This window comes from Homo sapiens, chromosome 4 (assembly GCF_000001405.40).
Source record: "Homo sapiens chromosome 4, GRCh38.p14 Primary Assembly".
NCBI lineage: Eukaryota > Metazoa > Chordata > Mammalia > Primates > Hominidae > Homo > Homo sapiens.
In genome coordinates this window covers 163,670,423-163,684,811 of record NC_000004.12, presented here as the reverse complement: position 1 = coordinate 163,684,811, position 14,389 = coordinate 163,670,423, and the positions used below count along the sequence as shown (strand labels likewise).

At 37.4% G+C, this 14,389-nt stretch overlaps 1 protein-coding gene and 1 long non-coding RNA gene across 7 annotated transcripts in view, besides 2 other annotated features; one reads left to right on the top strand and one right to left on the bottom strand.

Annotated features, from left to right (window-relative positions):
* MARCHF1 (membrane associated ring-CH-type finger 1) overlaps positions 1–14,389 on the top strand; it is an 859,722-nt gene that overhangs the window by 699,208 nt on the left and 146,125 nt on the right. The gene's annotated exons all lie outside the window — the stretch shown is intronic.
* The window catches only part of LOC107986325 (uncharacterized), a 30,340-nt gene that overhangs the window by 12,903 nt on the left and 3,048 nt on the right, over positions 1–14,389 (bottom strand). The window lies entirely within an intron of this gene.
* Positions 10,259–10,308: an enhancer, noted in NCBI's record as "active region_22105". NCBI's record gives its function as "activates an Ori minimal core promoter by ATAC-STARR-seq in GM12878 lymphoblastoid cells {active_cell/tissue: GM12878}" and the evidence as "EXISTENCE:reporter gene assay evidence [ECO:0000049][PMID:35858748]".
* Positions 10,329–10,408: an enhancer, noted in NCBI's record as "active region_22104". NCBI's record gives its function as "activates an Ori minimal core promoter by ATAC-STARR-seq in GM12878 lymphoblastoid cells {active_cell/tissue: GM12878}" and the evidence as "EXISTENCE:reporter gene assay evidence [ECO:0000049][PMID:35858748]".

Genomic DNA, 14,389 nt, shown 5'->3' with positions numbered 1-14,389 from the left:
TTTCAACTTTTGTGTTTATTTGAAAATTTCATAAAATGCTAGAAAAAAGTAGATTCATTGGTAGCAATATATAGGATAGATTGGAGGAGCAAAGGGAAGAGAGAAATGCCCAGAGGCAATAAAATAAACTGGATATGGGCTATTGAGTACTTAAGCAATGCTGGTAACAAGAAGAAGTAAATATTGATCATGATATTGGTCATTTCATGATTTAAAATGAAGAAATAGGAGTTATCAGATAAAATTAGAAATGAAATACAGAATAAAATAGAGATGAATCTTATGAAGGAATTTCTAGCTTGGTAAAAAGAACAAATGGTAGTGCTCTCAAAATCTGGTGTTGAGGAATTGGTGTGACATGTAGCCAAATGCTGGCTTTCTTTTGAGGCATTTCTGTAGCAGTTTTGTTTGTTTGTATGTTTGTTTTGTTTTTTTCTTTTCTTGAGACTGTCCAAACTGGAATTCTTTCTGACATGGGCAACATATATTCCAGTTGATATTTCATGATTTTTCTAGAGCTCCTTTTACTTGCTACACCAACATACAATCCCTGCCACATGTTCTTCCTACAATGGGACATTGACACTCTTCTATTAATTGGAGGGCCCTATGTTCCCTTCTCCTTGAAACTAGGCGAACCTTTGCTACTTCCTTGACCAACTGAAGGTGGCTTAAGAGGTACTACGTGGTGGCTCCCAAGGCAAGGTCATAAATGGTGATACAACTCTTGCCTTTCATGGTACATACCTTGAGAGGCATAAAGGCTATGCTGGCTGCCCTGAAGCCCCCATGCTGGAGAAATCACACGGTTTCCAGAGAGAGAGAGAGATGCCCAAGGAGCTTCAGCTGTTTCAGCCCCAGCCTAGCAGGTAGACGTGTGAGTGAGTGAGTGAGTGAGTGAGTGAGTGAGTGAGTGAGTGAGCCTCCACATGATGTCTGCCTTGAGCCTTCAATCCTTTTTAGCTGATACCAAGCAGAGCCCCAAGGATTATCTTTGCTGAGCCATGTCCAGAATGCAGAGTTGTGAGCAAAATAAATTGTCATCATTTTAAGCCACTAAGTTTTGAAATAATGTGTTTCTCAGCTATCATAAGTCGAACACATGCATGGACCTTTTCCAAGCAGGTCCCTTTACCCCAGCAGGAAGACCTGATTTTGTTAAGGACTATTTAAGTTAACAGAAAATATGAGCCTTGTTCCCTATCAGTGTAAATACACCTCGTTCCAACTAGTTTTTTTTCTTCATTCTGCATTACTGTCAAGATTTGGTTAGTCCCTTATCTTTAATATTTTTTAGATGAGAGACAGTCTAGTCTCTACAGCTTCCAAAATCTAGATCATTGACGTGGTTTGGCTGCATCCCCACCAAAATCTCATCTTGAATTCCCACATGTTGTGGGAGGGAATGGGTGGGAGGTAACTGAATCATGGGGGCAGGTCTTTCCCGTGCTGTTCTTGTGATAGTGAATATGTCTCACAAGATCTGATGGTTTTATAAGAGGCAGTTTCCCTGCACAAGCTCTCTTCTCTTGTCGACCACCATGTGAGATGTGCCTTTTACCTTCCGCCATGATTGTGAGGCCTCCCCAGCCACGTGGAAGTGTAAGTCCATTAAACCTCTTTCTTTTGCAAATTGCCCAGTCTCAAATATGTCTTTATCAGCAGTGTGAAAACAGACTAATACATCATAAATATCAAACTGAGGTCTACCACCAATCCTTAGTGGCACCTCTATGCAAAGTAGAAAAGGCACCACTTACTCAAGATATTATACTTCTATTTGTCAAAAAATTATCAAAATATACTGATTTTATTACAACAATACATTTTAATGCCACTTGACTGAAATTATTTTGCTGTACTAAACTATAATATCTATGTATTAGCCCGTTCTCACACTGCTAATAAAGACGTACCCAAGACTGAGTAATTTATAAAGGAAAAAGGTTTAATTGGCTCACAGTTTAGCATGGCTTGGGAGGCCTCAGGAAACTTACGGTTATAGCAGAAGGGGAGGCAAACATGTCCTTCTTCACATGGCAGCAGGAACAGAACTGCTGAGCAAAGGGGGAAAAGCCCCTTATAAAACAATCAGATGTCATGAGAACTCACTATTATGAGAACAGCAGCATGGGGGTAACCACCCCCATGATTCAATTACCTCCCACTGGGTCCCTTCCACAGCATGTGAGGATTATGGGAACTAATCTGGCCCAAGCTGTACCTTGGCCCCTTTTAACCATGGCTGAACCTGAAGCTTAAGCAGCTGGAATGCAGGGCACCACGTCTCGAGGCTGCACAGAGCAGGGGGTCCCTGGGCCCGCGGCACTAAACCATTTCTCCCCCCAGGCCTCTAGGCCTGTGATGGGAGGTGCTGCCACAAAGGTCTCTGCCGTGCCCTAGAGACATTTTCCCCATTGTCTCTTGGTGATTAACATTCGGCCCCTCATTACTTATGCAAATTTCTGCAGCTGGCTTGAATTTCTCCCCAGAAAATGGGTTTTTCCTTTTCTATCACATTGTCAGGCTGCAAATTTTCCAAACTTTCATGCTCTGTTTCCTCTCGAATACTTTGCTGCTTAGAAATGTCTTCCACCAGACACCCTAAATGATCTCTCTCAAGTTCAAAGTTTCACTATCTCTAGGGCAAGGGCAAAATGCTGCCAGTCTCTTGGTTAGAGCATAGTAAGAACAACTTTTATAGTTCCCAACAAGTTCCTCATCTCCATCTGAGACCAGCTCAGCCTGGATTTCATTGTCCATATCACTATCAGCATTTTTGTAAAAGCTGTTCAACAAGTTAAGAAGTTCTAAAGTTTCCCACATCTTCCTGTCTTTTGAGCCCTCCAAGTCTCTAGGAAGTTCCAAACTTTCCCACATTTTCCTGTCTTCTGAGTCCTTCAAACTATTCCAGCCTCTGCCTATTACCCAGTTCCAAAGTTGCTTCCACATTTTCTGGTATCCTTACAGCAACACCCCACTCTACTGCTACCAATTTACTGTATTAGTCTGTTCTCACACTGCTATGAAGAAGTACCTGAGACTGGGTAACTTATAAAGGAAAGAGGTTTAATTGACTCACAGTTCAGCATGGCTGGGCAAGCCTCAGGAAACTTACAATCATGGTGGAAGAAGCAGCAAACACATCCTTCTTCACATGGCAGTAGGAAGAGAAGTGCCAAGCAAAAGGGGAAAAGCCCCTTATAAAACCATCAGGTCTCATGAGTACTCACTATCATGAGAACAGCAGCATGGGGGTAACCACCCCCCATAATTCAGTTACCTGAATTATATGTCATGGGTGCTTCCCATGACATATGGGGATTATGGGAACTACAATTCAAGATGAGATTTGAGGGGAACATAACCAAACTATATCAGCCTATGATGTGACTATCACCCCTAGGGGGCAGTATACTACCTGTGTAACTGTACATGCCAGTTCTGAAAACTCTGCTCAAGGTTTTCCTAAAGAGCTTCCCTTACTTGGCTTGAGATAGATGGAAACATTCTCCCAACCACACGTTATAGCCCTTTTTTTCTATCAATCTTTCTTTCTTTATATAGCCTGAAAATGGTTAATGGTATAAAAAAGTCGGAAAACTAGTCAGGAAAAGGGAGATATCTTAGCAATTCCCATATGCATGTGATAGCACAGCCCTTTAAAATATGGAGATACTGTTTACCGATGCTGTTCGCAAATAAGTTAGTTCCCTTTAATATCTGGTTAGCATTCATCTAATGAGCACCTAATGCACCATATTTATTACATATAAATAATATTTAATATATTTATTAAATATGTTAATATTACATAATGTATTACATATATTATTAGGTACTCAATAATATATATGTGTGTATGTATGTATGTATTAGACACAGTGCTAGGCAACTAGAAATACAATGATGAGCCATACAATTTACAGTGTAATGAGTCATTCAAGCAATAATAAATTATAGAAATACATAATGGTAAACTTCAATAAGTGTTGTGAAAGTGTTTTAAGTCATAGTGAAGCATCATGTAACACAAGTCTGGATTAAAAATGAAGATACAGGATTTATCCCTTAGAAGTGGTGGTTCTAAATATAAGAAATGATATTCCAGGGAGAATATGTAGAAAAAAAGTTTAGAAGTCTAAAGATAGAATGGCAAGAAACACTCCTAGTTCCACAGAGGAAGGATGACAAGGAGCCTGGAAGAATTCAGATGTGGCAAGAGACAGATGAGCAAATCTAGAGAGTGACGACCCACAGAACACCAAAGAGAGTATGTTTCAACAAGAGCTGGTGTTCCAGGGAGCAGATTCCCCAAAGAGCTTAGGGAGGAGTAATACTGAGAAAGATTATTAGGTTTGACAAAGACACAAGTACTAGTTACCTATAACTTCAAAGAAATAGTCCTGAATGTTTTTAAAAGACACAAGGAAGATATTATAGTGTCACAAACAAGAGGGATCCAAATTGGACTGTGGTATCTCAAAAGGCTTTCTGGGTAGGTTAAGCGTAAGCTTAGTTTTAAAAAATAAATTAATATTAGATTTAAAACAAGAAATGTAGCAAAGCTATAGAGAAACAAAAGAGCATGATATTCTGGAACTGCTGGTAGTTGGATCAAACGGTTGCATCTGGAAAAGTGACAGAGAGGGAAACCTGAAATAAGTATAGACCAGATCATGGAAGATCCTTGGACTCAGTTAAAGAGAACTTTACTATGAAAATTATAAGGAACATTAAAAAATTTAAAACAGGAAAGCAATGTGAAAAGCCTTGAGTTTTAGTAAGAGCCCTGTTGTTAGTCAATTTAGAAAAGAAAAAAAAAAAAAAAACAGATAAAAAGCAAGAGATAGTTAACAGGCAATTGCAGCTGGCCCAAGTAAAACATGGAAGTTTAAGAAGCGGAGATAAAGGCCGGGCGCGGTGGCTCACCCCTGTAATCCCAGCACTTTGGGAGGCCGAGGCGGGCGGATCACGAGGTCAGGAGATCGAGACCACGGTGAAACCCCGTCTCTACTAAAAATACAAAAAATTAGCCGGGCGTGGTGGTGGGCGCCCGTAGTCCCAGCTACTCGGGAGGCTGAGGCAGGAGAATGGCGTGAACCCGGGAGGCGGAGCTTGCAGTGAGTCTAGACTGTGCCACTGCACTCCAGCCTGGGCAACAGAGCGAGACTCCATCTCAAAAAAAAAAAAAAGAATTGGAGATAAATATGAGATATTCTTTAAAACAGCAGTCCCCAACCTTTTATCGTTGCCAGGCTGTGACTCAGAGGTCAGGGACCCCTGCTTTAAAAGGTCACTTATGTAAGGAGTTGAAGACTCTGGAGTTTGAGGAGTAGACAGGAGAGAAGACTAAGATGATGTTCAGATTTCTGTCTTTATTACCGGGATGAAGATGTGGGGCCACGTGCTGCCATCTACTGCTAAAAAAGCGTTAAGTGGCAGTAGGCTCTAGACAGGGTGATCTGGCAATAGGAAAAAAATGGACGCAGAACATACTCAGAGATTTTCTTCTGGAAAAGAATCAAACAGAGGTGTCTTCCTATCTGGTAGAATATTCCTGAAAAATCTAGTGATCTGTTGAGATCCATACCACCAGTTCAAACATGAGGTCCAGAAATTCCCATTTCAGATTCTGCCAAAACATTCTAGCAGGAAAGGAAACAATTTCAACCTCTCCTCTTTCAACGGATTTGGATGTTTTGAGAGCCAAATACTACACATAATGATTTATGGCCACAACTTACAACTCCACTGGATGCTTCATCCCTCTTGCCCAAATCCCGTACCATGATGACAAATGCAAATGCCCAAAGTATACATCTCGTTAGTTCATGCATTCATTTTTGGGAAATCAGGGCAGGTATGGAAATGAAATGTTGCTTAAAACCATCAAATAAAATTATTTTATCTACAAGGAGCTGCTATTACACCTAGTGAAATTACTGTGGTTGTCTAGCTGACCAAACAACCTGATAAATAAAACTGTTAATATGTGGATAAACAGTGAGGCAGGAACTTAAATTTTGTTAAAGCTCCATAATTCCAAGAATCCAATACTGAGAAAGAAAATGTAGAAAAATACAAGGTATTCCTGAAAGCATCAAGTAAATCCCAAAGAGACACAGGCAATGAAGAGAACAGTATTCAATGCACTACTGTCAGCTTTATGCCACATAACTCACACAAATAGCTTATTTTCTGTCCAGAAAATGCTCCAGGATAGTAGAGGAGATATACTGAATGTTTATTCTAAAATTACCTAGTGTGAGATTTAAGACATTTGTTTCCTTAAAGGAGTCTGCCTGACATTTGAACTTCCTTATAAAATTACATTAAATATGTATCAGCTTAGAGGGCCTACCAAAAAAGAATAATGCATTTTCAATTTAGTCTTGGTTACACTTGACCTGTTTTAAAGTGCTCCTCTAATGAAATGGAAGCTATACCAAAATTAATTCTATGCAAGAGGCAGAACAGATTCTGTGTTATTTAATCATAATGTATACCATCCACTTTCCTGGGCATAGAAACAACACTGAGATGGCGATTGCTTTAACCTGGCAGGCCTGATAACATTGTCATCATAATCAAAATGAAGTTCAAGTGTTTTCCTGACCTGAATCTAACACCCATGTTTTAGTATAAGAAATAGGGAAGAACAGAGAATCAAGGAATTCCATCTGTGGCAGTTTTAGCTTATAGTTGCACTGATAATTCTGTATCAAGGGCAATTGAGCTAAGAAGGAAGAGTCCAGAACACAATCTTCTTCATTACCATCACCAATTTATCTGCTAAATTCTAGGCACCATTCTTGGAATTTTTCATATGAATTCACTCATGAATGAATTCATCCTTCCAACCTTGCTAAGTTGTTAAGAAACTATACTTTTACAGATGAGGAATCTGAGGCCAGAAGAGTTGTAAAATTACACAACTGGCAAGTTGGAAATCTGGGATTCCAAAGCTACATCTTTTCCTCTGCCATGCTGCCTAATTTAGTAATATGTTGGCATGTAGTGTGTGTCCAGCACTCTGCTGGAGTTTAAATGTGCGAGAGGTAGAAAGTCGTAGTCCTCAATAGGGCTTTTACACTAGTGGGAGAGACTGACAAAGATGAGTAGAGATATAAACAAAATAATATCACATGATGTAAAGTGTTGCTGAAAAATAAAATGTTGGCACAGAGAAGTATGGGGAAAAATAGGCATCTTTGTTTGTTTGTTGGTATTAAATATAGCATGAATTGACAAGACTTCTCTAGGGAAGAGATATTTTAAAGAGAAATGTGTTTATTGCTTACAAAAGCACTAAACATGGAGAAAGCTGTTGTAGCAGGGGACAGTAAACTCAGTACACTCCAAGATTCCAAGGCAAGAAGGAGCTTGGTGTCTTCCAAGCTGGTACCATGGAAGGCCAGTTTGGTGAAAACTTGATATATAAAGGGAGAGAGAGGAATGAAGTAAGATGGGAATAAATGATGACCAAATCACACAGAGACTTGCAGAACCTTCTGGATTTTATTCTGATAACGGGGGAAGCTATAGAATTTCCGTAGGGAAATGACATGATCTAATTTACATCTTTAAAATTTTGCTCTAGTTTCTGTGTGGAGAATAAATTGCTTATTTTTTGTCTGCTTGATCACAGTTTCTGACAGGAGTGTATAAAATCTCAAACGACAATTGTTAACCTACCTATTTCTCCCTGAAAGGTTTTGATTTATATGTTTTGAGCTTGTATTATAGGCACATAAATTCTTATGTCATGCCTTCTTTTTCTATTTTTTCTTTTTTCAGTACATAACATCAGTGTTTTCTCATGTGATATTTTTGCCTTAAATTCTATTTTCTTCTATTTTAAAATCACTACCCTGGCTTTTTTGTGGTTAATATTTTCCTTTTTTGTTGTCAAATCTTTTTTAATCCAATCTGAGTGTCTATATCTGTTTTATTTAATTATATATGAACTTAATTTTTTCTCTCTTGCTTTTTGTCTTTTATTTTGTTTCCTTTAATAGACCTAGTTGAGTTCTTATTTTATTTATTATTTCTTTTTGGGACAGGGTCTCACCTTGTCACCTAGGGAGTGCAGTGATGCCAACATAGCTCATCGTAACCTCAAATTCCTGGGCTCAAGCCATCCTCCAGCCTCAGCCTCCCAAGTAGCTGGGACTGCAGTAATTTGCCACCATGCCCTGCCAATTTTTTAATTAGTTATTTATTTTGTAGAAGTAAGGTCTTGCTATGTTGCCGCAGCTGGCCTTGAACTCTTGGCCTCCAGCAATCCTCTTGCTTTAGCCTCCCAAAGTGCTTGGATTACATGCATGACCTACTATGCACAGCCTCTTATGACTTTAAACCTATACATTATCTTCTTGCTGTTATGCTGCTTGATCTCAGCTGAAGAACCATAGTATGTTTTCTTAATCTTCTGATTTTTTTTTTTTTTTTGAGACAGAGTTTTGCTCTTGTTGCCCAGGCTGGAGTGCAATGGCGCAACCTCGGCTCACTGCAACATCCGCCTCCCGCGTTCAAGGGATTCTCCTGCCTCAGCCTCCCTAGTACCTGGGATTACAGGTGCCTGCCACCACGCCCAGCTAATTTTTTTTTTTTTTTTTTTTTTGTATTTTTAGTAGAGATGGGGTTACACCATTTTGGTCAGGCTGTAGAACTCCTGACCTCAGGTGATCCACCCACCTCGGCCTCCCAAAGTGCTGAGATTTCAGACATGAACCACCACACCCGGCCAATCTTCTGATTTCTGACATAGATTGAGTAGAAATATAAACTAAATAATATCACATGAAGTAAAGTGTTGCTGAAAAACAAAATGTTGGCACAGAGAAATATTGGGAAAAATAGGCATCTTTGTTTGTTTGTTTGTATTAAATATAGCATGAATTGACAAGACTTCTCTAGGGAAGAGATATTTTAAAGAAAAATGTGTTTATTCCTTACAAAGGCACTAAACATGGTGAAAGCTGTTGTAGCAGGGAACAGTAAACTCCAAGATTCTAAGGCAAGAAGGAGCTTGGTGTCTTCCAAGCTGGTACCATGGAAGGCCAGTTTGGTGAAAATGTGATATACAAAGGGAGAGAGAGGAATGAAGTAAGATGGGAACAAATCATGACCAAATTTACTTAAGTTCACTAATTTACTAATATCTATCTACACAGTCCCTGTGATAAAACCACTACTTTAGCACAGACATATCCCTTTGTTATTGCCCAGTTCCAATTTTGTTAATATTTTCTAGAACTTAAGAACTTAATTTTCAGTTGCTACTAATGAACTTTCTAGTTTAATCGGGTCCTAGCAATTTTGTGCTTGTTCTTTCACTCTCTCTCTCCTCCACAATAAGTTGCTGAAGAATTTGGCTACCCCACGTTCCCCTGATATTTGTAGCGCCTTTGGGATTTGTTTATTTATTTTTCACTTACTTAAATACCTACTGCAAGGGTAATTTTATTATATGAGCTTAACAAAAATTCTGAAATCGTAAATGCCTAAGAATATTTTTATGCCTTCAAATTTGAGGAATTATCCAGCTGGATATTTTTCAATACTTTAACATTATTACTTCATTATTCTTACATCCTGCTACTACCAAAATGTTTGACAATCTGATTCTTGTTTTTATACAGATTTGCAATTTCCCTCAGAATGCATTTGGAATATTCTCATTGTCTTTGATATTATTAAATTTCATTAAATGTGCTAGGTAAGGGTTTTCCTTTTTCCTCTTATTTAGCATCCATCAACTCTTCTGACTTGAGGAGTCTTCTGTCTTTTGTTAAGTTTATCTTTATTAAATTTTGTGTATATTTTCTGTATCTTTAGAGCTATCATCTAGAAGATTTCTTCAACATTATCTTGCAAATTACTAATATATTCTTCAAGTATATCCAGGCTGGTATTTTTCCTTCTATTATGTTCTTTATTTCAACCATAACATATTAATGTCTAATATTACCAATTATCTGATTTAAGTTCCTGATTTCATATTGCTGCAATCTTAACCTTTCCTGCCTAAGCACAAATATACATATTATACTTATTTAAATTATAAGTCTAATTATTGTGCTTCAAATGTGTATATTGTTCAGTTTAACCCATAGTGGCATTAGTCAGGTATCTAGTGTCTGATTTGTGAGCCCCTGTTTCCCTGGAGGTATCAGCTACTCTGTGCAGTCACTGGCACTAGGGGTGGAGATAAGCACCAAGGCAGAAAACTCCAAACCCCACTATGGATAACCTCTGTTTGCTGCCACTCCCCCAGGCAAACTCATCGGTCCTTTTCACTTCCACTTTTAAGAAAGAGCTGGCTGAGGAGACTGTCTTTGATACTAATCTAATGGCCCAGGCGATTTAGAAAGGAAGAGGCTGCAAGCTCCAGGATGCCTGCTGCCGTTTGGTCAGCTCCACTTGTCTTCATCAACTTCTCAGCCCATCACATTTTTTTTCTTTTTTTAAAATTTGTATAAATTTATGGGGTACCAGTGAAGTTTTGTTACACGGGTAGATTGCATAGTGTTGAAGTCAGGGCTTTTAGGATATCCATCACCTGAATAACATACATTGTACACATTTTTGTTTCCTTGTTGTTTGCATTTTGCTTTGTTATGTTTTTATAGCCTTGATTGTTCATAAATAACTATCTTCCAGGTGTTGGTGGTTATTTTGATGCTGAAAGGGAAAGTAAGGATTGTCTGAAGGCAGTGAAGGAGAGGAGCTTAAAAGGATTTTAAAGATCACTAGGGGCCTCCTTCTACCACCTATCAGATTCACCAGTTCAAGGCCTGAGGAGTTGCCCAGGGTGGACCAAGTTGGGTTTTTGTTTGTTATTTCTGTTAACTCGTGGAATTCATATTCCTACTCCTTTCTTTGGTTTTTCCAAGTTTGATTTTGAAGGAGGTGGCTAGGAACCCATGCTAGTTTATCATCATAAAAGGACTGGCAGTTTTGATTTTGGGGTTTCTTTTTTTCCTCATGTTTCTTTGATTTGAAACAATACTGTTTGTATTCTCCAGCTCCAATTCATGAATTATATTCAGACAGATTCCAAAGTTAATATTATATACATCAAGTCTGTGGTATATGGCAAGTACTTTAAGAAAACTCTTGCCTCCTATGATAAGCTACTTATTAATTTATCTAGTAAATCACAGCTTTATTTCTTCTTTATTTAGATGTTACAACATCTCACCTATTTTTGTCACCTGCATTTCCTAAAATGGCTATTTTAGGGTTAATATAAAAACAAATCTTATTTAATAGGATTCTTTCTTCTGTTAGTGTTTTGTTTGAGTATAAAAAAACTAAAGAAGTTCCTCTGTTTTTATTATTGGAACATGGCTAAATGAATAAAAAGCCAAAAAAGAAAAAGAATAACAAAATAAAAGCCTAGTGTTAAGCTGATTAAAAGGTCTGGAGATTCCAAACTGTTTAACATTAAATTAAAATGCATCTGCATTAAAATCCTCGTCAACATCCTTAGATTTAATTAGATAATACTTGCTCAATTAGGCTTTTGCTAAATGTTTAACAGGCTAATATTGAGTAAAAATCAATGGGCAGTTATTTAATCAGTAACTCTCTGTCCAGAAATATATTCCTAGAAATAATGGAGTACATGAAAATTAGTTGCTCTAAAGATGTTTATTTCAGTTTGATGTATGTGGTTGGCTGAATTACAGCCCTTCAAAGATAGCCACTTCCTACTCCCTGGAACCTTTGACTATGTTGCCTTCCACAGCAAAAGAGATTTGCAGATGTGATTAAGAATCTTGAGATGAGAAGATTGTCCTGGATTAAGGGGAGGAAGGAGGGCAGTGGAGGGGCAGGGACAATGTAATGACAAGAGTCAACAGAAGAGGGAGACCAGAGCGTCAAAGTCAGAAAAAGGACGTGTGACAAAAAGACCCAGAGCTTGGAGTGATGCAGTTTGAAGAGGAAGGGGCATGAGCCAAGGGATGCAGGAAACGTCAAGAAGCTGGAAAAGGCAGGGAGCTGGATTCCAGTCTCCAGAGAGAAGACAACCCTGCCCACCCCTTTGTTTTAGACTTCCGACTTCCAGAATTTTGAGGTGATAAATGTCTGTTGTTGTAAGCCACTATGTTTGTGGTAATTTGTGAAAGCAGTAATAGGAAAATATAGTTTTCAATGGTAGTTAAAAACAAATAAACTATAAAAGTTTATTAAATAAAATATGACACATCAAAACAATATGTATTATGCAGCCATTAAAATTATGTTGTAAAATAGTATTTTACCATATAAGGCAGCTATACTATTTTATTAAGTAAAAAAGAGTCTTATAAAACAAAATGTTAAATAACTTATTTTTAACAAGGAAATTATGAATAACAAAAGCTGGTATTTATTAAGTGCTTCTTGTGTGCCAGGAACTTTTAAAGAGCTTCACACCAAGCTGTGCCGTGCTGAGGGATCCCTTTTACTCCCCGCCATGACATGTGTTTACCTATGTAACAAACCTTCACATGTACCCCAAAACCTAAAATAAAAGCTACAAATAAAAAATTAAAATAAAAAATACATAGTTTAGAGGGAAAAAGATCTTCACACATCTTACCTCAATTAACTGTTTCTATGGGGTGAATAATATTATCCCAATTTTATAGATAAAGTAATTATGGCACTGAGAGGTTAAAATACATGCTCAAGATCACATGGTTAGTGTGACACATTTGAAACTAGGATATCAGACCCCTGAGCCTGCACTCTTAGTCCTCTTTGTATAAACAACCCTGGAGTAAACAAATCAAACATATTACACAGTACAAAATAGGTGAGTTATATTTTCATCTTTTCTTTATCTGAACAATAATCTTTGATTACTCCTAAAATACAGAATAAATAAATGTTTGAAAAGAACAGAAAATAGAAGTTTTAAAAGACTGTTGAGATAATCTTTAGAACATACTTCCTGTTCTCTTTTATCTTTAGAAAAAAAATAGTACCTTTCGCCTTTCAAACTAGATTGCTATGAGGATTTTATGTAAATATGTAATTGTCTAGGAATAAAATTATGCCATGACCTGCTTGATTACATACCATTCAGAGTTTTGCAAATTTAATATATGCATACTTAAATACGAATACATTTACTTACAAATACCAATGAAAACACATATAAGAAAATATAGCATAAGGAATTAAACTAAAAATTAACGCTAAGGGAAAAAATGGCACCTGGTTAGCCATTTATGTGACCCACTCCATCACTACTTACAAGGAAAGTATCTACAAAGACACAAAAAACTATCAGAGTAATATCATACTTTTAAAAATGCAATTAGTAAAACACTTGCATTGTGCTCTTTCTGAAAGTAAGTCGGATAACTATTATACTCTGCCTTTACCAGATCCCTTGTTCAAATTATAAATCTCTACTAAAGCAAAATTTTGGCAGCTATTCCCGTACTGTGAGTATTCTGCTTTTGAAGTAGACAGAGTGCTGATTCACTCAACTTAGTCCATCTCAGCCTTTGCACATCTTGCTAGTAATTACATTTTCCTGAAAATAAAAGGCAGATTTACAGAGAAATGGCTGTAGCCATCAAAAGAGATAAGACACAAGAGCCTTTGTAACAATAAATAGTGATAGTGTTGTTTTCATTCATCTCATCCATTTATAAGTCTAGGTATTAGATCTAAGAGAAGATACCCTCTGCATCCAACTGCTAAAGCAGGGAACTGGGCAAGGAGCTACATCCTTCATCAACTATCCAGTCAAATGCAAGGGAAAGGGCTGAAGCAGCAAGCAAATGAACTCAGAAGAGGTGAAATCAATGAATTTCATGTTCTTTCCATTACCATTTGCTAGGTCAGCCTAGCTATCCTCATGGTCAAAGATTAATAAACAGAAATAAAAACAAATTCACCATTGCTAGGCACTACAGGAAGCTAAAAAGGAAATACTTGAAGATTCAGAAAAAAATAAAAGGAACACTTACAGTGATTTACTACCAAAATAAAAACATTTGTGTTTCTCGATAAGTATTGTATTCCCGGCTCCTAAAATCTTTGTATGACAGATGGTCAGCATTCAATAAATATACATTGAATTAGTGAATAATCTTTTAGAAAATGATTCCATATCCTCAGTGGGTGGCAAGAAGTCTTTGAATCCATAAAGCATGAATGTAAGGCTATAGAAAGAATAAACTGAGACCAAAAAATATATAGAGAGAGAAAGAGAGAAAAGAAAAGAAAGCAAGAAGGCAAGCAAGAAAGAAAAAAACAGAAACAAAAGAGAAAGAAATGAAAACAATGTACAAAGTAAGAAAATATGAAAAATGAAAGTGCAATTGAGGGATTAATAGATGCGTGTAAATAAAATTTTCCACATATATAAGAATTTTTC